This window comes from Homo sapiens, chromosome 20, assembly GCF_000001405.40.
Source record: "Homo sapiens chromosome 20, GRCh38.p14 Primary Assembly".
Taxonomy (NCBI): Eukaryota; Metazoa; Chordata; class Mammalia; order Primates; family Hominidae; genus Homo; species Homo sapiens.
In genome coordinates, this window is record NC_000020.11 from 61,737,848 (window position 1) to 61,762,949 (window position 25,102).

General features: G+C 50.8%; 1 protein-coding gene and 1 long non-coding RNA gene across 8 annotated transcripts in view, besides 6 other annotated features; one reads left to right on the plus strand and one right to left on the minus strand.

The window, feature by feature from the left end:
- The window catches only part of CDH4 (cadherin 4), a 688,357-nt gene that overhangs the window by 485,587 nt on the left and 177,668 nt on the right, over nt 1–25,102 (plus strand). For all 5 annotated transcript variants that reach the window (NM_001794.5, XM_047439812.1, XM_047439813.1 and 2 more), the window contains one exon: nt 5,716–5,942. In NM_001794.5, coding sequence (NP_001785.2) covers nt 5,716–5,942 — 227 coding nt within the window. The remainder of the gene's footprint in view (nt 1–5,715; nt 5,943–25,102) is intronic.
- On the minus strand, nt 353–17,226 carry CDH4-AS1 (CDH4 antisense RNA 1). 3 transcript variants are annotated; one of them, NR_199021.1, is made up of 2 exons: nt 17,145–17,226; nt 353–1,243 (listed from the first exon to the last, which is right to left on the minus strand). It is a non-coding gene; the product is annotated as a CDH4 antisense RNA 1 (long non-coding RNA). The 3 variants fall into 3 exon arrangements; NR_199023.1 differs by lacking the exon at nt 353–1,243 and adding an exon at nt 11,489–15,827; NR_199022.1 differs by lacking the exon at nt 353–1,243 and adding an exon at nt 11,489–16,353.
- Nucleotides 8,521–9,021: an enhancer, noted in NCBI's record as "H3K4me1 hESC enhancer chr20:60321424-60321924 (GRCh37/hg19 assembly coordinates)". NCBI's record gives its function as "activates a minimal SCP1, AML or CMV promoter by ChIP-STARR-seq in naive H9 embryonic stem cells {active_cell/tissue: H9 hESC(naive)}" and the evidence as "EXISTENCE:reporter gene assay evidence [ECO:0000049][PMID:30033119]".
- Nucleotides 9,022–9,522: an enhancer, noted in NCBI's record as "H3K4me1 hESC enhancer chr20:60321925-60322425 (GRCh37/hg19 assembly coordinates)". NCBI's record gives its function as "activates a minimal SCP1, AML or CMV promoter by ChIP-STARR-seq in naive H9 embryonic stem cells {active_cell/tissue: H9 hESC(naive)}" and the evidence as "EXISTENCE:reporter gene assay evidence [ECO:0000049][PMID:30033119]".
- Nucleotides 15,320–16,306: an enhancer, noted in NCBI's record as "H3K27ac-H3K4me1 hESC enhancer chr20:60328223-60329209 (GRCh37/hg19 assembly coordinates)". NCBI's record gives its function as "activates a minimal SCP1, AML or CMV promoter by ChIP-STARR-seq in naive H9 embryonic stem cells {active_cell/tissue: H9 hESC(naive)}" and the evidence as "EXISTENCE:reporter gene assay evidence [ECO:0000049][PMID:30033119]".
- Nucleotides 16,307–17,292: an enhancer, noted in NCBI's record as "H3K27ac-H3K4me1 hESC enhancer chr20:60329210-60330195 (GRCh37/hg19 assembly coordinates)". NCBI's record gives its function as "activates a minimal SCP1, AML or CMV promoter by ChIP-STARR-seq in naive H9 embryonic stem cells {active_cell/tissue: H9 hESC(naive)}" and the evidence as "EXISTENCE:reporter gene assay evidence [ECO:0000049][PMID:30033119]".
- Nucleotides 19,165–19,665: an enhancer, noted in NCBI's record as "H3K4me1 hESC enhancer chr20:60332068-60332568 (GRCh37/hg19 assembly coordinates)". NCBI's record gives its function as "activates a minimal SCP1, AML or CMV promoter by ChIP-STARR-seq in primed H9 embryonic stem cells {active_cell/tissue: H9 hESC(primed)}" and the evidence as "EXISTENCE:reporter gene assay evidence [ECO:0000049][PMID:30033119]".
- Nucleotides 19,666–20,166: an enhancer, noted in NCBI's record as "H3K4me1 hESC enhancer chr20:60332569-60333069 (GRCh37/hg19 assembly coordinates)". NCBI's record gives its function as "activates a minimal SCP1, AML or CMV promoter by ChIP-STARR-seq in naive H9 embryonic stem cells {active_cell/tissue: H9 hESC(naive)}" and the evidence as "EXISTENCE:reporter gene assay evidence [ECO:0000049][PMID:30033119]".

The following is a 25,102-nucleotide window of genomic DNA, read 5'->3' on the forward strand; positions in this document are numbered from 1 at the left end:
AGAGAGGGACCACCGTTCCTCAAGGTCACAGAGACAGGAGGCTGTGGTTGGTGTTTGCACCCCAAGACCAGGGTAGGTGTGCGCAGGGCTGCTGGTGCACACCCGCCTTGCTGGGCACATGCATACCTGCCCCACAGCGCATGCAGCGGGTGCTGGGACCCTGAGGTTCCATGCCTGTGGCTCTGGTGTGAGGACAGCAGGTGTTCCCCTCCCCACCCTCTGGGGCCCACCTCCTTGGGGCAGGCGGTGCCGGGCCTGACCCCAGGGCCCAATCCTCTGTGCCACCTCCAGCACTGGCTTTGGGGTCTGCAGCAACCACCGCCAGGGGGACAGAGGCAAGGGAGGCTCCGACTACATGTTTAAACAGTTAGATTTAATTTCTCTCTGGACCCTTCTGTCTCTTGTCAAGTTTGTTTAAAACTAATGGAAGTAATTAGCAAACCATGGAGAGATGCGTGCGGCAGGTAGCGGCTGTGGGTACCAGGCACCAGGCAGTCCCGTGTCGGCCGAGGATGGAACAGGTACCCTCCTCCCCAGGAGGATTTCCCTCTGTGGCACCTGCATTTCCTCACAGGTGTTTTCTCCCCCGAGAAACAACTCTTTTGTCCCCCACAGTACTTTCTGGGGCTGCAGTGTCCCTAGGGCCCAAGGCAGCAGGCTGGTCTGCGGCTTCCCTGCAGAACCCCTGCATTCTGAGGCAGAGGTGGGGGCCAACACCCCAGCAGGACCTGAGGGGCCATAGCCTTGGGGATTCCTCGGAGGCACGGCCTGGGGTCCAGTTCACACATCAGCTGCAGAAGGTTCCCTCAGGATGTGCAAGTCAGAAGCTCCCCACACCACACCACCGCCCCCATCCTCCACCAGGCTTGGCATCCTCCCAGCCTCGGGAAGAACCAACCCTGCTGGACGAGGGTGACAGATCCCTGAAGTCGGGCAGCAAACCCCGCTCCTCCTCTCACCACCTTCACGGCAATCCCGCTCCTCCTCTCACCACCTTGACGAAGGCGTGAAACGTCCCTGAGGCTCAGCTTCCTATCTGCGAGATGGGCCAGTTCTACTCGCCAGCGCTGCCTTCCCGTGCCTGGCAGTGCACCCGCCGCGTGGAGGCTGCAGGGGCTGGGACAGGACGTGTGATCTGCATTGGGGTCGCAGAGGCGGCTTTTCAGGGCATTGTAGGTGTTTGCTGGTACATCGAGGGAAAAGTTTTCTGGGAATCCATTGGATGTTAATTCTCTCCTGAAGACTAATAGAGAAATTGGGAGATCAAAAACAAATACATAAGAAAACTAAACTTCCAGCCGGGGTGGTGCCACTGGTCACTCGCCTTCACGCCTGGGCGGCTGCTGGCGCAGTCTCCTCTGGGGGCTGTTTCCCATGGGGAGGGAGTTGCGGGGGGTCCCGTGAAGATTCTGGGCTGAGCACAAAGCAGGACAGAAGCCCCCTTTCTGCCCTCAGCCTGATGGGAGCCCCGGACCAGCCTGGGGAGGCTTTGCCCCTACTTCACCCTGACCAGGTGCCTGATGCTGTCCGGTCCCAGGACAGCAGCCCTGACCTCAGCACACTCACCAGTCCTGGGGCGGGAGACACGGGAGGACATGGGAATCCCAGGTACGAAGCCAGGGAATGAAACAAAAACAGGTGATGTGAGGGGAGGGGTAGGGCAGGTTACAGGTTTCCATGGGAGCCAACATCCCAGCCAGGCCTGAGCACTGGGCCAGAGCCAGCTCTGCCAGAAACCACCAGTTACAACCTCTGTGTCCAGTCTGCAGAGTCCAGAGTGCGGGTCCTGGATGGGGCTGAGGCACCAGATTCCTGCCTAGAGGAGGGTGAGTGACAGCGGGCTTGGAGCCCAGGCCCAGTTCAGAAGGTAAAACTGGAAGGACTGCCCACTGCTGGCCAGAGCCAAGGTTCAGGCAGACAGCAGGCCGCTCCCGGCCGCTGCAGAGGCGAGGGCAGCACAGGACTCCAAGCGCCCACAGAAAGTTCTATAAGCAGTTGGGGGCCTCTCCAGCCGACGCCTCAGGCTCAGCCTCCAGCCACATTCGTAGAGAGGCAAAGCAGAATCCAAATAAGTCAGTGCCAGGCAACACCGTCAGGAGCGTCCTCTCTGTACACGGAGACCCTCAGTGCATGCCGACACCCACACATACATGGGCACTTTTCTGTTGTCCTCCTGGAATGCATTTAACCTTGCAGAGACAGGCGAAGACTCCAAAAATTAAAAAGGAAGCAAAAGGAAGGAAGCAGGTTGAAGAGGAAACAAAGGTGAAAAGTAGAATGGAACGTGCTGAGGTTAGTAAATGTCTCAGCATTGTTAGAAAAGCCAGCTACGGTACTGCCTCTGAGCTTCCCAGTAGCCTAAGTAAAGAGGGAAACCATTTTTAGGCAATTCACAAGGAAAGACAAATAGGATATGGGGAGGAGTCCCCATCCCAAGACCTCAGACATGTCTCCCTTGAGGCTGCCCTGCACACTCACTTGCCGTTTCTATAGCATGGCAAAGTGTTAGTAACATTCTGGGTTGTGTTCATAGGTACCCACATTTCACAGAGTTTCCAAACAGATTGTTCATACATTCAGTGCTAATGTTCTGTGAATGCCCCTGGCGTCTCAGAAGACTTGCCTTATTGCTCTTTCCTTATGAAAGAGGCCACAGCCTGGTGGGGCACAGGAGCAGGTATTGAAGGTTCTGAAGCTCCTTTCTTCTCCTGGAAAGCAGGTCCCCCCAACAACTGGGGTCTCTGAATGACCCCCCCATCTTCCAGGCCTCTCTCCAGGAGGGTGTGGGCCAGCACCATTTGCGTAACCGTATCGTGACCTTTGTCCCTTGGGCTGCTTCCTTCTCTACCAGTGACAACTCCTGTTTTCCTCCTGATTCTCCACGGCTGAGGACTCAGAATCACAAATGCTAGTGGGCTGAGTGTTCAGACACAGAGGTCGTGTTTGGAGCGGAACACCCAAGTTATGGTTAGACTGAAACAGGATGTTGGGACTGCATCTTGTCACAAAGCCCTGGAGCTTTCTCGTGATTGGACGGGGCCTGTTAGACACAGACGGAAAAGGCATAAAGATCTAGGAAGTTGCCGGGCACAGGGGCTCACGCCTGTAATCCCAACATTTTGGGAGGCCAAGGCGGGTGGATCACCTGAGGTCAGGAGTTCGAGACCAGCCTGGCCAACGTGGTGAAACCCTGTCTACTAAACATACAAGACTCAGCTGGGCATGGTGGTGCACGCCTGTAGTCCCAGCTACTTGGGAGGCTGAGGCAGAAGAATTACTTGAACCTGGGAGGCGGAGGTTGCAATGAGCCAAGACGGCACCACGGCACTCCAGCCTGGGCAGCAGAGCAAGACTCCATCTCAAAAAACAACAACAACAACAAAATCTAGAAAGCCAGTGTGCAGGGGCCCTGGTGCGGTCCCCCGGGCATCACTTCCCCAAGCCACCCACGGAGCTGCCTTTGAGGGCGCTGTCATCAGTTTCATCCAGGGTCTCTCCGGCAGGGAACGCCTTTCACCTGCAAAGTCCTTGGTTCATATGGCTGACGCCACCGCTGTTTCCTGCCTGGTCATTCAGACGTTGGTGGCCCATTCGTTCTCAAAGCAGCTTCAATGCTTGCCTAAGATGTCACCAAAGCTGTGTGCCTGTACTTTTTTTTTTTTGAGACCGAGTCTCGCTCTGTTGCGCAGGCTGGAGTGCCATGGCGTGATCTCGGCTCACTGCAAGCTCCTCCTCCCAGGTTCACGCCATTCTTCTGCCTCAGCCTCCCGAGTAGCTGGGACTACAGGCACCCGCCACCACGCCCGGCTAACTTTTTGTATTTTTAGTAGAGACGGGGTTTCACCGTGTTAGCCAGGATGGTCTCGATCCCCTGACCTCGTGATCCACCCTCCTCGGCCTCCCAAAGTGCTGTTGGGATTACAGGCATGAGCCACCACGCCCAGCCTCCCAAAGTGCTGAGATGACAGGCAGGAGCCACCGCGCCCAGCCGCCTGTACTTTTTTTTAACTACAACACTGTGTTTAATCCTGAAGACAACACAAACCCTCCTGCTGCTGTCCAATTGCATTAGTTTTATTAGGAATTTGCTTTTAGGGAACAAAGGGGCTTGTTTGTGTGTTTGTGCTCATCTCTCAGCAATCACAGCACTGTCATTTTTATCTTTGTCAGTGACAATCAGATGTCAGAAATGATTGATCCACTAAGTTGTTGCTGATTTTAATTTGTTTACCATTGGGCAAACAGTACTATAAAAGCAGTTTGGAATTTTCCTGTCACTTCAAAAAAAAAAAATGTAATGATTCCGTCCTTAGAAGGGGAACAGATCCGGGGAGCCACAGCAGACCCTTGCCTGGGTTGATCCTGTCCATCAGAGGAGCCACCGGGGGGCTCTGGAGTCTGGAAGTTTCATTGCTCTGTTGAACCAGACAGGGTGGAAATGCCTGGTGTCATCACATTTAAAAACATTTTCACATGAAAATGTTTCACATGAAACCCACAAGTAGGAGGTGCCATTGGCTGGGAAGATATCTAAAGTGAACTATTGAGAAGAGGGAACAGACACGTTATTTATTCTTTCAAGGCAGGCAACAGTAAAAGGTGAATGCGAGGGGAAAACACTTTATCTAATGTAACAGTGAGTCGCTTTTTTTGGTTTCTCGAATAAATAGTAATTAAATCATGTAAGCTGTGACAGCAAAATTGCTTGAAAAACCAATCCTCCCACCATAATTGCTTAGATACCCACATTTTTATAAATAGGAGTTAACTTTATCCGTGGCTTTTATGAGCAGAATGTGACACGGGCTGTGGGTGCGTCGTAATTTACCACGGCTGTAGGTGACAGTTGCAAAAGCACACGTCTAAAAAATGCACTAATGTGTCCGGATGAATCTGCGCCTCTGGAGGTGTCTTTTTCTGCAGCAGAATTAGAGATGGCCATGATGCTGGAGCCGTGAAGGGAGGTTGGCATCCTGGTGCCTACTGGTTAATGTTTTGGAAGCGAAGCAATGCTCAGCACCCAGCGGTATCAATAGACTGTCTGACTTCAACTCTGTTTCCAGTTCACCAAGAAAGCACTTGGTGGGGCCAGGGTCTGCCCTGGCCACACCTGCCTAGCCCACCCCAAGGCCATTTGCAGGCATCAGGTCTGGCTTAATAATAAAAAGGACCAGAAACACAGCAGAGCCGAGTTCTGCTGCCAGAATCCACCTGCCATGGGGGAATGGTCCCCAGATGCCAGCTCTCTCTTGCTCCTTCCTTGTACTTAGCCTTCTTGGAGTGGAAAAACAGGTCCATTAGTGGCTTCACAGTCTCTGCTGGCAGGAAGAAGATTTGCATAGGCAAGAGTGGGGGGAACTGAGGGAATATTTTTGAGGTGGAGAATACCCACTGTGCCGCTCACAGACTCCGGCTGAATTCGGAGATAACAGCGGCAAGGGAGAGATGCGTTTGCAGAAGGGAGTGCAGCTGTGTTGTAAATAGAATGGAAGCTCAGTGTTGCTTTTCTTCCCCCCCTTTTTTAAAGGCCTCTGGCTAATTCTCTAGGGGGTTGAGATAAAACACACCACCTTCTCGGGAGGTGGAGAAATCAGTGCAAACCTCATGCCCCTCATGCCCACTGGGGGCCTGTAGGGCGTCCTGCGTGGTTGCTGCCATTGTTACCGCCCTTCTGCTGGCCAAGCCGACCCTGACTCTCTCCCCCTCCTCTTGCAGTCAAGTTCAGCAGCTGTGTGGGGACCAAGGGGACACAATATGAGACCAACAGCATGGACTTCAAAGTTGGGGCAGATGGGACAGTCTTCGCCACCCGGGAGCTGCAGGTCCCCTCCGAGCAGGTGGCGTTCACGGTGACTGCATGGGACAGCCAGACAGCAGAGAAATGGGACGCCGTGGTGCGGTTGCTGGTGGCCCAGACCTCGTCCCCGCACTCTGGACACAAGGTAAGGTGTGACCGCCCGGGTCTGCGCTGGAGTTTAGATGACCTAGTTCCTCCTGCAGGCCCTGGGCAGAGCCTCTGCCAGGGCTCCCACAGGACAGACAGTCACCTCCTCCTCGGGCTGTGCCACTCAGGCCATTGCCAACCAAGCACCCCTGCCCTCTGCACTGACCTGAGGCAGGGCCGTCATTGCGGGAAGGCCCCCTGGGCAGGCACACAGGCCCCACACTCAGGTTCAGACACTATGCCACGGTCTTGTCGCTCTTCATATGTTTTTGAACAAGGGGCCCCAAATTTTCATTTCAAACTGGGCACTGCAAATTCTGGAATCTCTCCTACCTCCCGAAGTTTGTAGTCCACCAGGCCCAGGGCGTTCTGAAGCCTGGAGGGATGAGAAGCAAGCGGAGACTGTGTGGTTGGAAAGGAGCCAACCAGAGAGTGGGGAGGCGATGGAGAGAATAACAGAGAGGAAGGCAGGTGCAGGGAGACAGCAAAGGAGAGGGAGAAGAGAATGAGAGAGGGATGGGGAGAAAGAGAGAAGAGAGGTGGAGAGAGACAGGAAAGGAGAGGGAGGGAGAGGAAGAGAGGGAGAGAGAGAAGGAGGGAGAGAGATGGAAAGAGGTGGAGGGAGAGAGAGAAGGAAAGGGAGGGAGAGGAAGAGAGGGAGAGAGAGAAGGAGGGAGAGAGATGGAGAGAGGTGGAGGGAGAGAGAGAAGGAAAGGGAGGGGAGAGGAAGAGAGGGAGAGAGAGAAGGAGGGAGAGAGATGGAGAGAGGTGGAGGGAGAGAGAGAAGGAAAGGGAGGGAGAGAGAGAGACAGACAGACAGCTTCACACAGACATAAAACATCTGCTGTTCAGGATCCCAGCTGCCCTCCGACTCTGCCTCCTTCTAACCCGGCTGCCTGGCTCACCCGGGTGACAGGGAGGGGCGCCTTCACCATGCCCTGTCCTGAGGCTCCCTTTCATCCTGGCATATTCCAGCAATCCAGCACCAGGCTCCTGAACAACCTGCGTTCATCCCCAGTTCTAGCTGTTAGGTTCCCCGTGCCTGACGGGGAAGTGGCCAGGTCCCCTTCGCCTTGAGTGTCCTGGCGTTGGTTGCAGCCACTGCGCCAGCCTTCAGGTGTGGAGGCTGCTGAAGAAGCTGCAACCAGGCGGCCTGTGGGAGAGCACTAAGGAAGGCCAGCCTGCAGGTCCAGCTGTTGCAGCTGCCTGCCTGAGGGGCCCCAGTGGTGGAAAGAATGTGTGCCAACCCCTCCAGATCCCCCCAGTTAACATGAGGCCTCTATGGGGTCGTTTGAGATACGGTGAGCAAAGGAAATCACCACGCAAGGCGGCGGCCACTAGCAATCATGGGCACTCCCTCGGAAAAGGGCCCTCGGGAAGTAAAGCGTTAAGCAGAGGCAAGCAGATTCCTTTCCGTGGGTTTCCCAGAACCTCATGACTCATGTGCTGTGTAAGCCTCTGAGTGAGACCAGTCTGCAAGTTTCCCCAAACTGTCTGACCAAGGAACCCTTCTCCATGGAAAGCTTGCAAGACAGGTGTGCCAAGGAACCCACTTTGGGAAGGGAGGGACCTGTGTCTTCTTCTGACTTGTTTCTCAGATGGAAGCGGAGATGGAAGCGGAGGTGGTTTAGGTTAGAAAAGAGAAAGTGTGACTCAGATGGACAGTCTTCACTGCATGATGAGCTGACCCCACGGGGGAAGGAGGTCTTGAGAGTCCTCCTGAGTGTGTTAAACCAAGCAGCAGAGCACGCCTCTAACGGCAGTGGCCCCCAAATCATGAGCCCCACCTGTGAGTCCTGACGAGTCTAGGACGGTGTATGTCATTTTCCTTCTTCCCTGAGTGATTATTACAAGCCACGCCCTGGTGAGCAAGGCAGGCCCTTGGACAGCCTGGGGACCCTGTCCCATGGGGGTCCCTTCCCTCCCTGAGCTGTGCCGGGACACTGACAGGCAGGGACTTTCATCCCCATCATGCCTGTGACTTCCAAGCTGTCCCCAAGTCCCCGATTGTGAGCCGAGAGCAGAGCCCCTGAGAGCCTTCCAAGGCCTCCGATAAAGGCTCTAATTGAAAATATAATGACACCTTTTCTTGGGCATGTTAATGAAGCGATTTCAGATTTAATCCCCTGATCCTCTGCAGAAGGGGCAGGCCCAGCTGTGGTTGCCGCTAGACAGTCCCCGTGGGAATGTGCCTCGACCCACACCAGGCTGGTGCAGGAAGCACCCAACCAGCGGAGCAGGGGACACTGAATTCATGTCCCAGGCTCAGCGCACCCTGGGGAGCCCAGATGTTAAACCAGGCAGCAGAGCGTGCCTCTAACAGCAGTGGCCCCCAAATCGTGAGCCCCACCTGTGAGTCCGGCGTATGTCGTTTTCGTACTTTCCTGAGTGATTATTACAAGCCACGCCCTGGTGAACAAGGCAGGCCCTTGGGCAGCCTGAGGACCCTGTCCCATGGGGGCCATGGGGTCACTGTGGGGCACAGCCCTGAGTCCCTGAGACATGACTGTTGCAGGGCACAGTGGGCAGTCTCTGCAGCCCAGGAGACCCGGTCCTCCAGCGCTTTTGTTGCCAATGGTTCCTCTCCTGACTTTCTAGCACCCACTCAGACCTTGCCCCAAGTGGTGTAGGCTCATCTAACCCTCTCCACACCCCTGGAAGTGGGTGCTGTTACATCATGGATGAGGGTGCTGAGCATGTGACCACAGCCCTGTGCTGCACAGGAGAACTGATGTGTGGGGAAGGAGTGGAAAAGGACTTTGCAGGTATGGCAGAGCCCGGCATGGCGCAAGAGCAGCCACCCAGGGTGTGGGTGCACGGCAAGGCTTCTGCGACTTACTGGCTGGGTGTTTTGGGAGAATTCACACAACTTTGAGGTGAACTGCTCTGGAGAATGGGAGAGTAATGCTACCCATGTCCCAGCCAAAGGGTGCTGGTATTTCATGAGGTTATGGAGGTCAGGAGGTGGAAAACAGCAGCGCATATGGCTGTCATTGCCTGGTTCCAGGCTTCACAGTCCTGTGCTTATCACAGTGCTGGGCCTTGCCAGGTGGCATGGGGGCAGGAGGAGGCAGGCAGGGAGTGGGGGTCACTGTGGGACGCTGGGCCACCTGGTTGATGCGCCCTTACAGAGCGTGATGCCAGCCTCTATAGATGATCAAGGTGACACCGGATTGCTGGTGTCCTGGCCGCCTGCCAGAAGCAACTGTGCATCTCCCCCAGTGTGAACTGTCACCCAGGCCTTCAGCTGTGCCCATCTCCTTTCATATTCAACGTCCAGCACTCGGCCTCATGACTGGGCACATGAGGAGGGACAAGACATAGAAAGAACAATCGAAAGAAGAGGCAGATAAGAAAGGACCCACAGGGACCGGGCGCGGTGGCTCACGCCTGTAATCTGAGCATTTTGGGAGGCCGAGGCGGGCGGATCATGAGGTTAGGAGATCGAGACCATCTGGCTAACACGGTGAAACTCTGTCTCTACTAAAAATACAAACAAAAATAAAATTAGCCGGGCGTAGTGGCAGGTGCCTATAGTCCCAGATCCTCGAGAAGCTGAGGCAGGAGAATGGCATGAACCTGGGAGGCGGAGCTCGCAGTGAGCCGAGTGAGCCACCGCACTCCAGCCTAGGCAACAGAGTGAGACTCTGTCTCAAAAAAAAAAAAAAAAAAAGACCCACAGAGGCTCCAGAGCATGGGGCAATCAGAGAGATTTTACACTAACTACACTTACTATCTTTAAGCAAATTAAATAGAAGACTTTGAGAGATAATTAGAAGGTATAAAACAGAATTCTTAATCGTTGGGCAGTTTGGAATTGAAAACTAAACCAAACAAAATGAAGAGCTCAATGGATACATATATCTGCAGATTTGACATAGCTGAAGAATTAGTGAAGCAAAATATATCAAAAACATTCGTGCTCTAAAGCGTGAAGAGATACACAGAAGGAAAATACAGAAGCAACCGTAAGAGATATTAGAGAGGCAGTAAGAAGGTCTAATGTGTATATTTGCAATATGAGGGGGAGAGAGAAAATGGGGCAGAAGTAATATTTGAAAATATAGTGGCAGAAAATATTCCAAAACTGATAACATTCATTTAGGCATGGATTCAAGAAGCCCTGTGAACTCTATGCAGGAGAAATATTTAAAAAAAAAAACAGCACCTGGATGCTTTATAGTAAAATAGTTAGAACCCAAAGACAAAGAGGAAATCTCAAAAGCAGACAGAAAAGGCAGAATTCCTTTGAGGAAGCAATGACTAGGAGGCTGACTTCTCCGCAGGAGCTGGGGCGTTGTGGGGGGGTTGGAAGACCGTTCCATTCCATGCCATTGAATGATTTCTTTTCTTTTTTTTGAGACAGAGTCTCGCTCTGTTGCCCAGACTGCAGTGCAGTGGCGCAATCTCAGCTCACTGCAACCTCCACCTCCCGGGTTTAAGTGATTCTCCTGCCTCAGCCTCCTGAGTAGCTGGGATCACAGGTGTGTGCCACCATGACCAGCTAATTTTTGTATTTTTAGTAGAGATGGGGTTTCACCGTGTTGGCCAGGCTGGTCTGGATCTCTTAATCTCGTGATCTGCCTGCCTCGGCCTCCCAAGGAATATCTTAAAAGTGCTAAAAGAAAATAGAATTCTATCATCCAGTAAAACTGTCTTTCAGGAAGTAAAGTTGAATGAAGAGAAACTGAAAGAATCTGTCCCAAATGATGTTCTTCAAACAAAAATAAAACAAGTTGAGGTGAACACTCAGAAATGGAGGAAAGAATGAAGAGCTGGGAAAAGGCCAAGAACACTGAAAAATACAAATGAATCACAGCAGTGTAATGTTTCATGGGTGTAAACAGAGAACTCGAATTTACAGCAAAAACTGCATAAACTTTGAGAAGGGATAAATGGAATCAAAGAGATAGAAGTTGTTTGCATTTTTCTCAAAAATGATGGAAATAACAAATTAATATTACTCCTAAATAAGACGAAAATACTTGTTATAAAGTCTTTAGAAAATCACTAAAAGAGTCATAAAAGTCTGTAAGTAGTAACGTAATAAAAGGAAAAAATAGAATAATAAAAATTATCAAGCCAAAAAATGCAAAAAAGAGAAATGAAAACAGAATAGATGGGCTACACATTTCTCTTTGTTGTAATTTAAAAAATTGATGGATAAAGATAAATCCAACTATATGCAGTTTGTAAAAGATATACCTAAAAGGTATAAGGCTAAAGTTTAGCAGTAAAATCCTAGAGAAATAAATACCATGCAAGTACCAATCAAAAGGAAGCTAGTGGACTCTGTTAATATCAGATGAATAGAATCTGAGGAAAAAGCATTCTATTCAAGGAGGAACACTTCGTAATGATAAATAATTCACCAAGAAGATACAGGAATCCTAAATTTGTGTGCACTTAATAATATGACTTCAAAATATTTATGCCAAAATTGATAGAAATAAAAGGAGAAGTAACTATGCAATCAGTGGTCAATTTTAACAAAATTTCTTAGCAAATAATAGAACAAGCAGAAAATATCAGTAAGGAAATAGATTAGAATCACACAATTAACAGGTCTGGCTTTACTGAGACATATAAAAGCACAGAAACCAACCACTGCTAAATACACATGATTTTTAAGTATAGACAGAACATTTACAAATATTAACCAAGCAAGTCCCAACATACTTCATAGCCTTCAAGCAATTCTCAACATACTTCAAAGGTTTAAAATCAAAACATAGTTTGTTTTCTTAACTCAGAGCAAGTAGGCTAGAAATCAATAACAAAGAATGTAACTGGAAAATCCCCATAGATTTAGAAGTTAAGTAAAAGCCTTCTCATTAACCCTTGGGCAGGAAAAAAAAAAATCACATGGAAATTAGTGAATATTTTGAACTGAGTAATAAAACTACTGGGATGTAGCTAAAGTCATGCCCAGATGGAAATGTTTAGCCTTAAATGCATATATTACAAGATAAAGAAGGCAGAAAATTGGCTGGGCGTGGTGGCTCGTGCCTGTAATCCCAGCGCTTTGGGAGGCCAAGGCAGGTGGATCACCTGAGGTCAGGAGCTTGAGCCCAGCCCAGCCAACGTGGTGAAACCCTGTCTCTACTAAACATGCAAAAGTTAGCCAGGCATGGTGGCACGCCCCTGTAATCCCAGCTGCTCAGGAGGCTGAGGCAGGAGAATTGCTCGAACCCAGGGGACAGAGGTTGCAGTGAGCTGAGATTGCACCACTGCACTCTAGCCTGGGCAACACAGCAAGACCCTATCAAAAAAAAAGGGCAGAAAATCAACAATCCAGGCATTCATCTCAAGAAACTATAAAAATAACTGAAAATGAGACCCAAAGTCTAAAGAAAGAAATTGTTAAAACAGGAGGAGAAAACAATGAAACAGAAAACAATAGAAATAACAAAATTGGTCCTTTAAACTACAAGGCTGATCAGACTGAGCAAAAAGAAAAGGTATAAACTGCAACTAATCCTTATCAGGAATGAAAAGATGACATCATGACTAATCTCATGGACGTCAGAAAGATCATTTGGGGATATTATATACAATTTATACCAATACACTTAAAAATATACATGAAAAGGATAATAGTGTAGAAATATACACCTTACCAAACTAACATAAGAAAAAATCCTGCACTGTTTTATTGTTACAAACAAAACTAAAATCCTTATCACAAAGAACTGTCCACACCTGTTGGCTCCACTAGTAAGTTCTACCCAAGCTGTCAGGAAAAATTAAAACAAATCTTACACAAACCTATCCAAAGATTACAAAAAGAGGAATTGCTCTCCCAAAGTTTTGTCCTCCCAAATCCTTATAGGGAGGATACACACACTGGAGGTACAAGCCAATGCAGTAAGGCAAGAAAAAGAAATTAGAATAAATGAAACTGACATTATTTGTAGCTTATATGATTATGAATGTTAGAAAATGTAATCTGTCCTAAAAGAACCTGTACTAAGTTACTGGGACTCGTGAGTAAGGTTAGCAAGGGTGCTGGATGTAATAGTTGTACTTCTATGTACCAGGGATAAATCCTTAGAAAATAAAATCTGAACTAGATCCCAATTACAATAGCATTAAAAACGATCATATAACTGGGAATAAATCTAACAAAAATGTACAAGACTTCTTACATTTTGTTGAGAAAAATTAAAGAACTATAAAAATGGAGGGATATGCTGAGCTCATAACTTGGAAGGCTTATGTTAGAATATTGATTCTACCCAAAGTTGCCATAGAGTCAACACAACCTCAATAAAAATTCCAGCAGATTTTTTGTTTGCTCGTTTCGGGAAGAGTAAAGAGCTGACTTAAAATTTTTTAATGGAAATGGAAAGGGCGAAGGTAGCCTAGAACAAGAAAAAGATGGGAGGACACATCCTTCCAGACAAGTTGTTGGGGCTGTCCTGTGTGCTACAGGATAGTAAGCCAGACTCCTGGCCTCTACCCACTAAACGCCAGGTAAAGCCCCATAACCTCCATATGCAACCAAAGCTCTTTCCAGCCACTGCCAAATGTTCCCTGGGGGGCAAAACTGCCCCCTTTTGAGAACCACTGAACTACAGCCATTAAAACGGTGTCATTTTGAAGCAAAGATGATTAGATAGACACTTGGAACAAAAATAATGAGCCCAGAAAAAGACATGTAATGTGTTTAAAAATCAGCTTCATGGACGTATAACTCTCATACTACAAAATCCACCCAGTTCATCTTTACAATCTGATGAGCCTTGTCAAATGCCCAGGGTGCAGACGCTTGATTTTTTATTATAAGAGCAGTGCTGTAGAGCAGGTGCCAGCATGCTGTAGCCCACAGGCCTTTTATGGCCAGCAAGCTAAGACTGGTTTTTACATTTTTAAATGGTTCCATTTTAAAGGGTTATGTAAGTACCTATACGATGTCCTCAATTTTGCCCCTTAACCTGAGATGCCTAAAATATTTACCATCTGGCCATTTGGGGGAAAGTTTGCCCATTTCTACAGAAACAACAGAGGAAAGACTGTCTTTTCAATAAATGATGCTGGGCCAATGGGGCATCTTTAAGAAAAAAGTAAAATGACCCCTACCTCACACCACAACCAAAATCCATTTGAGGTGGACTGAAAACCTAAACAGGAAAGGCAAAGCAATGCAGCTGGGAGTGAACTGACCCCCGGGTGTGGAAAGCTTCCTCGCACATGGCACGTGAAGCGTGAAACACGGGAAAGAATGATCACTGGACTTTATTAAAAATAAGAACTTCTGCCAGGTGCGGTGGCTCACGCCTGTAATCCCAGCACTTTGGGAGGCCAAGGTGGGCAGATCACCCAAGGTCAGGAGTTCGAGACCAGCCTGGCTAACATGGTGAAACCCTGTCTCCACTAAAAATACAAAAATTAGCTAGGCATGGTGGTGCACACCTGTAATCCCAGCTACTAGGGAGTCTCAAACAGGAGAATCACTTGAGCCCGAGAGGTAGAGGTTGCAGTGAGCTGAGATCATGCCACTGCACTCCAGCCTGGGCAACAGAGCAAAAGCCTGTCAAAAAAAAAAAAAAAAAAAAAGAACTTCTGATCATCAAAACATATATCTTAAAAATGAGACAATAAGGCAGAGTCTGGGAAAGGACATTTGCAGCACTCGTATACTCTTGATGGGAGTGTACAATGGTACAAACACTTTAGACAGCAATTCAGAATTACTATTAAAGTCAAATATACATATGCCTCGTTTTTGGTGTATGCCCATAGCAGTATAGGCAGGTAATACCAAGAACTCTGTACGGGACGTTAAGAGAAATCTTACGCATAATCACCAAAAGCTGGAAACAACACACATGCCCTCACCATTGCAATGAGTCAATAAATTGCAGTGGGCTCCTAAAGTGGAATATTATACGGCAGTAAAAGTGAACAAACTGCAGCTAGAAGCAACAAAGCCAGCGAATCTCACAAACAGACCAAAGAAGGAGAGCAGGCAGGTGCCTGGCAGCAGGAACACGTGTCAGCCGAGTGACCGCACTCCCATGAAGTCCAAATTCGGGTGGCACTGAGGTGCAGAGTTACAGTCGGTTGAGGGTTCCTTTCAGGGGGCAGCAGGAAGCCATGCTGGGGGACACCAGAGGGTGGGAGGGAGTCTTGTGGCAAGACAGGTGCTCATTCTGCCATCATTTTTTTAGCTGGTGTTCTGTACGCTGTTGTACTTATAGTCTATTACTCACAATTTAATTTTTTTAAACAAATGCATGCAGAGGGCTACCTAACTGTGTTTAGAGAAGGTGGGAGTTCTGATGGGGGCACGTGGTAAGCAAGAGTTCTGCTGGCAGAAGGTTCTGGAGAAACAAATGGCCTCCTTCAAAGCATCAGTTTACAGAGCGCTGGGAGTCCCAGGGCAGTGTTTATTGAGAGGAGCCTGGAAGCAGATTCTGCCAGGGCAGGTGCATGGGGACCCCTAATTTCCTGGTTCTGTAAATTTCATTTCTCTTATGTCGAGGTTTCTTCAAGTGCCGCCTCCTCTGTCCATTATTTTAGCGACTCTGGGGAGCTGGGTAAAACTGACAGCTTTACAGTTAGATGAACCATAAAAATTTGGCAACTTTTCTCCTTCTTTTGTCGCCCTCTCTTAGCAACTATTTAAAAGCAGCCTTTCTGTGGGCAATGCAGGCAGTGCTGGAATCTGGAAGAACTGTTTTTTGGTGCAGTCTTGCAGGAAAGCTGATAGCAATTCAATTAGGAAATGCAAATGAGGTCACATATTTCCCACCGGAGGGCTGAGTCACCCCTGAGGAATCAGAGCAATATTCTGGCCTCACAGGAAACACTCGAGACCAAGCTCTCACCCAGTTGTCATCTGACTAGCTGCTGCAGCACTGAAAAGTGGCAATAGGACCTGTGGGTATGGTTTGCAAAAAAAGAAACTGTTGTTTATGAAACTAATATTGTATCTTCTAGCACACGTCAGCGTTTATGAGGATGAACTCGGCCGAGCAATGTCCCACGGCCAGGCGGGTCCAGGCGCTGACCTGTGGACTTTCCTGGGTGTTTCTGTCCCCCCAGGTCCTTTGGGCTGAACTATGTCCCCTAAAATTCAGGTATTGAAATCCTAACCTCAGAACATGACTTAACTTGGAAATAGGGGGTTTGCCGATGTAATTAGTGAAGAAGAAGTGATTAGCGTGGGCCCTGATGCAGTAGGACTGTGTCCTTATAGAAGGGGAAATTTGGGCACAGACAGGCACAGGGAGAAGTCCTGTGAAGATGAGGCAGAGAGCTGGGGGATGCCTTCAAAAGCCAAGGATCAGGGAAGATTGTGGCACCACCAGGAGCCAGGAGAGACGCCCAGAGCAGATTCTCCTGCACAGCCTCCCAGGGACCAGTGCTGCAACATCTTGATTTTGGACTTCTGGCCTCCAGAGCTGTTAAGGGAATAAATCTCTGTCTCAGCCCACTGGCTTGTGGACCAGAGCCTTTCAGCCGAGGTGGAGACTCAGATGGCAGAGTGCAGACAGACCCCAAGGCATCCCCGAAGGCAGGGAGGAGTGTCCCCAGCCAGGGGTCCCGCCCAGGGCTCCAAATACCCCTGAATCCTCTTGATGCAGCCACTCTTCCCTCCAGGGCTGTTGAGGACAAGTCCCCGCCCACGGCAGCCCCCAGGTCCCTCTGCTGCTACCCAGGCCCTTCCACTGCCCCTGCTGTCCCCCTGCCCACTGCAGGCTCCACAGGGCTTGGGGTGTCCCTGGGGAGAGGAGGGATGAGGAACGGGTGCCATTCCAAGGGCAGCAGCACACAACAGGTGCAGGCACACTGCCCGGAACACCACACACACGGTGCACGGCACACACACCACACACACACGCCCCACACACCACACGCACACACGCCCCGCACACACTATGCACACCACACACACAGTGCATGCCACACACACCGCACACACACTGCACGCCCCGCACACACTATGCACACCACACACACAGTGCATGCCACACACACCACACACACACTGCACGCCACACACACCACACACACGATGCATGCCACACACCACACACATGCCCCACACACACCACACAGTGCACGCCACACACACCACACATATACCCTGCACATACCACACACAGAGTGCGTGCCTGTATTAGTCCGTTTTCACACTACTGATAAAGACATACTCGAGACTGGGAAGAAAAAGAGGTTTAGTTGGACTTACAGTTCCACATGGCTGTGAGGCCTCAGAATTATGGCAGGAGGCAAAAGGCGTTTCTTACATTACAGCAGCAAAAGAAAATGAGGAAGAAGCAAAATGAAAACCCCTGATAAACCCATCAGATCTTGTGAGACTTATTCACTATCACGAGAATAGCACGGGAAAGACTGGCCCCGGTGATTCAATTGCCTCCCCCTGGGTTCCTCCCACAACACGTGAGAATTCTGGGATATACAATGTAAGATGAGATTTGGGTGGGGACACAGCCAAACCATATCAATACCACACACACACACACGCCCCACACACACCACACACACAGTGCACACCGCACACACACTGCCTTGTAACACCACACACATAGTGCATGCCACACACACCACACACACACACACACACACGCCCCATGCACACCACACACACCATACACACAGTGCACGTCACACACCACACACACACACCCCGTACACACCACACACACACCATACACACAGTGCACATCACACACCACACACACACATGCCCCATACACACCACACACACCATATACACAGTGCATGCTGCACACACCCACACACATGCCCCATACACACCACACACACCACATACACAGTGCATGCTGCACACACCCACACACATGCCCCACACACCACACACACGGAGCATGTCACACATGCCCCACACACCATATACACCACACACAGTACATTTTATACCACATACATGAATCGCATGGACATACCACATACACTGCACACACTACATGCCACACACACTACACACATATACACACCACACACACACACCACACATTTACACGTACGCACATTCCACACAGTACACACGTGCGGCTACATGAAACACATGCGCAGGTGTTGCACACTCACACTGATACCAAACTCAGTCTGAAAAAGAGTTCTGTGTATGGTCAGCAGCAAAGGACCCAGCACTTCACAGGGTTGGATGCGGCCACCCAACTGCATCACCCCAGGCTCACTTGGGGTGTTCACCACGCCCAGCCCGTGCCCCCCATGCTCACGTTCCCACTGCAGGGCAGGCTGCGCCACTGTGTCCACTGTGGGCCGAGCTCTCATGCCTTCTCCTCTGCACATTCTGATGAATCACAGACAGCCTAAGAGCACATGGAGGAGGTGCAGGCTTCGTTAGCGTGAACGCACCCCCTGGGCTGTGGTGCCAGAGCTCAGAGCAGGATGTCTGGAGTCTGCATCCTGGGCCTGCACCTGAGCTCCTCTCAACCCTGGCCAGGGGCTCGGCTTCTCCTTGCCTCCGATCTGCATTTGTATGCTGGGGGCTGTGGGACTGTCACAGAATGAGAGGGGTTGCTGAGCTGTGGAGGTGGGGCCCACAGGCAGCTGTTAGCAAACGTCAGGTGTGTCACTGTAGAGCACGTGCAAAGGCTGGAGCAGGGAGCTCAGGAGAGGCCTAGGCCAGGGTGAACTCTCTCCTGCACAGGCCTGTCCCCCACTACTCACATGGTCCATATCCCCTATCCCCCAGGCCCATCCCCCCATCCCCCTGGCCCATCACCCCATCCCCTGGACCCTCCCTCATCCCCGGGTCCCTCCCCCATCCCCTGGTCCCTCCCCCCATCTCCTGGAGAAGCCTGGATATGAATCACTTCTTGCCCTTCACCCTGAGAGCGGAGGCCTTGTAAGTGAGGCTGGCATTGCAGGGAAGCATCCACAGACTGCATTCCTCCGTGAGTTCCCCAGGGCTGGCTGGCCAGTTTCTGATCTGAACCTGGACACCTGAGCATTTGAGAACTTTAACTGAAGGGGGCTACAGGTCATCAGGGCAGTGAGGGGATGGTCCCCCAGGGCTCTCCACATGAGCTGTTTCTGCAGAAGGCATATCTGCCTTGGGAAAGCAACTAGAAGGTCCCGAGGTGGGGGTCCAAGTTTGAAGCTCACATCTCCAGAAAATGGTGGTTTGTTTTATCCTTCTCCCAAAAGGTGGCCCTCAACGGGACTGAAAAACAGCAATTCTAGAATAAATAAACAGCAACAGTGCCGTTGGCAAACTTGTAGACAACGTGTCCACCTCCTGGCTTTGTTTTGAAGATGACGAGCTATTTTAATGAGTGTGAATAACCTCCACGCTCCTGCAAGTTCAGACACCGTCACCAGCAGAGGTCTGGCTGCTCAGGTGCAGATTCCATGGCCCCTGGGTTCAGCAGAGCGTGTATTGGTATCTCCACGCGTGTTTCTCCACATCAGAACACAGACCCCCCCCCCAGCCCCCTCCAGGGGGCTCGAGTTTCGGGGGTGGTGGGCCGTCAGTATTAGGTTTCATGGCCGTCCAATGCACCCCAAAGGAACGGCAGCTTGTAACTCTTCATGGGTGCGAAGGACGGGAGTGACTATTGGAATTGGTCTTGCTTCTTTCAGGCCTGAGAAGTTCAAACTTAGCCAGTGTTTTCAGGCTGCAAACAGCCTTGAACGACATCTGGGCCAGCCCTTCACTTGTAAATAGAGGGGTGCCCAGGGCCCCAGGGGCAGTCAGCTGCAGGGGCGGCCCCAGACTCCCCAGGACCAGGCAGGGAAGCCCCCTAGGGAGCAAAATCTGATGGGTTATTGGTCATTTTCCCCAGGCCATCCTGGTGGGAGAAGGGCAGACCTCAGTGCAGACACTGCCAGGGTCACTGTCCCAAGAAGATCTGAAGGGGATTGAGCCCGTGGTGACCTGGAAGGTGGCTTGGTGAAGATTCTTGCTGCCATGTGGAGGGTGTCAGGGATAAAAGTGGGCCATGCCGGCAGGGAGGCTCTGGTCACGTGAGCCGTGGAGGGAGGAGCGAGTGGTACAGACTCTGTGTCACCTCCTACCCCAGAGGCATGGCCACAGGACTGGACCTGAGTGGTAGCCATGCCTCTGAGGACCTTGGAGTCCCATGGGCTGGGAAGATCTGGAAGTCACTGTCTTTGTTCACTCCAGGAGTGATGCTGGGCATTCACGTGTCCCGGCACTGCTGTGTAGCAGCTCTCTCTAAGACTTGGGGACACGACAGAGGACGCTGCAATGTGGTCCCCGCCCTCACCGAGCTTACCTTCTCTCGGGGCAGGCAGGCCAGGTGTCCATGTGGCAGATGCGGTTTGGCAAATGCTGTGCAGGCACATTCAGAGTCAGGTGAGGGGTACCAAGCCCCGGGACAGGTGGACAGAGGGTAGAGGCGCTGTTTCATCCAGGGGTGCAGGATGTTGACATCCAAGTTGAGAGGTGATGTATGGGAAGAAGCCAGCCGTGAAAAAATTCCCGTGGGAGGAGTGTTCCAGACAGAGGGAACAGCAGATGCAAAGAGCCAAGCCAGGCCAGCCCCAGTCACAACGTAATTACTCAGTGCTCCACTGTGGGATGTGTGCTCTGCCTCGGGCCCTGGGCCCTGCCCGTATTGTGGTGCTGTGGATAGGCTGTACGTTCTGCATGGTTGACTCATTTGCTGTCTGTCCTGACGCAATCGGAGGCTCAAGGGCTTTCCCAGAATTGCCACGAGGAGTTAGGGGCAGAGGGGCACTGAGAGAGAGCCCCGGGGTGAATCTGCCTCTGCCCACCTCCCAGCCAAGGATGTCTCTGATCCGTCTGCAAAATAAGGACCACGAGGTCCGTGAAGTTGTCCTGAGGGCATGACCTCAGGACTGCACGTGGCACCGCGTCCCATGTACAGTGACGGTCCCCCTGAGCCGTGGCCACTCTAACCCCAGCTCCATGTCTGTCTGGGCCAGTCAGTCCAAGACTTGGCCTCCTGACGGGGGACGAGCCCACCTGCCCGCCTCCCCTGCAGGCCTGTGCAGGCTGGGAGCTGAGAGGGCGCACAGGCGTGGTGCGGGGCAGGCACACGGGCCCTCCAGCGTCTCAGCTTCTAGCACAGTCAGGTTCTGCTTGGGCCGTTAGCTCTCGACTAGAGCTGGTGTGTGTGTGCACCTGTGTGCATGGGTGTACACATGTATATGAGTGTGCACATGTGCGCATGGGTGTGCACATGGGTGTGCACGTGTATGCCCACTTGTGAGTATATGTGTGTGCACATGTGTGCGTTCGCACATGGGATGTGTGTGCACGCATGTGCATATTTGTGCATGCATGTGTGCGCACACACGTCTATATACACACTTTGGGGAGCCTGTTCAGAGCCCCCCAAGCAGAGTTGTGAGGGGCCAGTGCTGCCCTCCTGCAGGTGATGAAAGTAAAACTGAAGGCAGACTTCTCAGACCAATACGTTTGTGTTTCACTCCAAGGCCATGGCTCTCATTTAATATTTGGTTAAAAATAAAACCCTCTGTGGTTCTGGAGAAGGATTTTGTGAAAACAGTGAGAAAGGGGTCATGGACACAGTCTTTTGTAGCTGGCAGAAAGATTCCCAGCAAGAACAGGGGTGTCTGTGAGACTGAAACGCCACATGGTGGACGACAGATCCATGAAGCCGGAGGTCCCCAGGGGACTCTTCAGAGGACATGTCACTGAGGGTCTGGGCGCCAGGGCTCTGGATGGAGCGTTTATCGCGGTCCTCACCAACGTCTTCCCGAATCACACACGCTGATGGCACCGACCATCTTTCTCACTAATGCACAAAATATGAACGATTTCATTCAGTTCCACCACTAATGACTCTGGGAAAAAGTAATACATTTTCCCTTAACTTGCTAATTTAATTTAATTTTTTTTTTACTATGAATATATTTTTCTATAAACTGGAGGGTAATTTTGTTTAAGGTGTTTCTAACTAAACATAATTTTCCTGATTCTCTAGAGCAAGTTGTTCTCAGCCAGGGCACTAGGCGAGACCCGAGACGCCTGTGGTTGTCACCACAGTGGGGTTGCTCGTGAGTTGGGTGCAGCCTGGCATGCTGCTCAGCATCCTACAGAACCCAGGACGCCCCAAACAAAGAAGGATTCAGCCCAAAGTGTTAGGAATGCCGAGGTTGAGAAACCTGGTCTAAAGCCAGGGGTGCAGCCCGGCCAGGACCGAGGTCACAAGCTCGGTAGCTTGTCCGGATCTCTTTGTACCAGAACATTCTGGAACCTCCTTTCTTCTGCTAGACAGAAATACTTATCAACACCCTTAAAGAGGCTGACATCAGAACACACATGCCACCTGCTCTCTTGTCAGCCACAATTCCTTATCCTTCTGTATCTTCGCTTTTGGTGGGAGGCAAGGCTGAAGGGTAGGGGGAGGGGGTGGGTGGCTTTGAGATCTTCATCCAGAGAAACGTGGTGGTTACGTGGTTTGTGAGGCTAATTAGGAACAACATGAAACCCCTCCACGGGGTGATGGTAATTGTTACAAGTTGCCTAAAGAACCAACTCTAAACTTTCCCCCAGGACAGCCCAGGCCCTCAGAAGTCATAGCCCAGGCTCCGGCTTTGCCCACAGGTGCGCGGGGAGAGGGGTCCCAGGACTGCAGCGTGCTGGGTGATCCTCCATGCTCTGTGTCCTGTGAGAGGAGGAACGGTGAGGGCTGAGAGCCCAGGCTCCAGGGGCCATGGCCTGAGTTCCAACTGGCCTCCAGAGGACAGCAGCATGACGCTGGGCAGGTCGTGCAACCTCCCTGGGTAAAAATGAAGGTGCTGGCTTCCCGCCCCTACTCCATCCTGGGGGCACTGAGCCCAGACCTCGGTGCACCGACACCATGGCAGCAAGCCATGAGCCTCCCTGCTGAGGCTTTCCTTCCAAATGGACACAGTGAAGAAATAACTGCCCGACTGTGTTCAGGAAACCTTTCCTTGTATTATTTCTATGGGAATTTTCAAAATGATGTCGCCTTTTTATGAGAGATCAGAAGTAAGAAATTCGGTGGTGCTCGTGGGGCAGGGAGAGTGGGTTTGGCCCCTACTGGTGTCATTGATGTAAGAAAAAAATCCACTAAGTGCCTTTTCGGAATGAAACTCATGCAAATGCTGACTTACAATGGCTCACATGTTCTATTTGTGAAAGAATGTAGATATTGTTCTGTTGTTTTAGTGTGTGTTTGTTGAATACCATTTTATTCCGTCCATCCTTAGCTACCATGGAAACCAGCTAGAAGGCTGCAGACAATATCCTAGTTAAATATTTTAAATATACATGTTTTCGGGGAAGCAAAATGGACCCTTTCTCAAAGGTACACCGAAAAGGAAATAGGAGGTAGAGGAATGAACTCTGTGTAGGATTTAGGGCACCCCCTTTTTTAAAAGAAATCTAATCATCCTCAGTAAATATCCGTACTAGGTTTGACATTTAGGGGAGGGGGGCTCACATAATTTCCTTTTGAAGCATGTTTAACCCAAAGCTATAAGGAAGCAATGAGAACAGGAAGACTGCGAATCAGAGAGATTGAAAAGAGCCATAAATAGAATTGATATTTGGGGAAGAAATCGTATCCTCCCTGTTCCAACAGAGCAATGTACGTTCATAATGCAGGCATGGCCGGTCCTTCCCCAGATGTTTCATTTCCACGGCAGACTCCTATGCAATCGATAGTCTTGGAGCACTAGACTCTAAGACGTGGTGTGTGTGTGGCTGGGGTCAGCCACATATTTACCCAAACATTAGAACGTTCAGCAAAACAGGAGCCGAAAATGCACTATGAGGTGGTGCCATGGGTCCGTGGTCACTGCCACAGGAGAAGCTGCCAACACCCGGGAGCCTGAGGCTAGACAAAGTCAAAGGCCGGTGGCTTTGGGGACAGAGGTGCTGGGTGGCTGGGACTGCAGTGCACAGAGGGGTGAGCGCGGATTTTGTTAGTGAATAACGCGCAGAAGACGCCGTGGCCTCAGCAGGGCTCCGGGACCTACATAGGGTTTCAGAGCTCCCAGAACCTTCCATCCTGAGAGTGCTCTTCTCCCTGCATCCCCAGACAGAGCACCTTTCCTCTCACAGGAAGCTCCAGTGCATGGAGCATCCTCATAAGCCATGCCGACAGCTCCGCACAGCAGGCAGCTCCGCACAGCAGGCAGCGCCGCACGGCAGGCAGCTCCGCACAGCAGGACCAGGTTAGAGGGCTGGGCGCAAGGAAAAGCTGCAATGCTTTGCCTTTGCAGCCAGTCCAGCCTCAAGGCCACCCCAGGGCCCACCTGGCTCTGCTGTGGGGATAGGCCAGGAGGCAGGAGCTCCCCTGCGCTGTTTCCCTGGGCCATCCAGTCTGCAGGTGGTGGACTTCCCCAAGTCAGAGTAAGACCGTTTCGTAGGCACTCTCTAGTGACACCTCCGAGATCTGTTCTGTGCCCATCACCATTCTACACAGTCACGAGGCATGTTGGAAACAGAATGAAATCCACAAGTTAGATGCATCTTATGCCTGACGTGACCACACAGCGGGACTGGCCAGCATCTGGTATGTAAAAAAGTTCTGCTCTCTGAGCTGAATTCTCTCATGATGATTAACTTTCTCATTCACACCAAAAACCATCTTCAATACCCACTGTTCACCCACATTTCCACTTCTGGAGACATTTGCCACCTCTATTTTTATCTTCACAGAAAAGGAGGGCTCTGTTTTCCCCACATGGCTCACAGGGGTGTGTGGAGCAGATCCAGCAGAATTCCCAGCTCGGGGCTGTTGCAAATATTCTTCTCTTCCTTGGTGGAATGGCTCCCACTGCACTCTGTCCAGCCTGGAAGACAAGGAGAGGCAGCAAAATCAGGGAAGTGAAGAAGCACAATCCCCTCTGTGTCCTCTCACCGTTCCTTGACACTGGGTCTAGTTTATCTGCTTATACAAATCGGACCCCCAGGCTCTGCAGCTACAGAAGCCTTGTCTCTCAGCATTGCGGGTTCACAGGGCTATGCTGCCTATCAGAGAAATCCAGTGGCATGGGGACCTCCCCAAAGAGCCACTTTCTTGGGTAATGAGAGCCAGCAGTTACACCTTTCCAGGAGGGGGACAGGTGCACCCCAACAAGCTGACACAGAGCACCTTGACCATGGCAACAGCCAGTACGGTGACCAGAGGTCATGTCCCAGCAGAAACT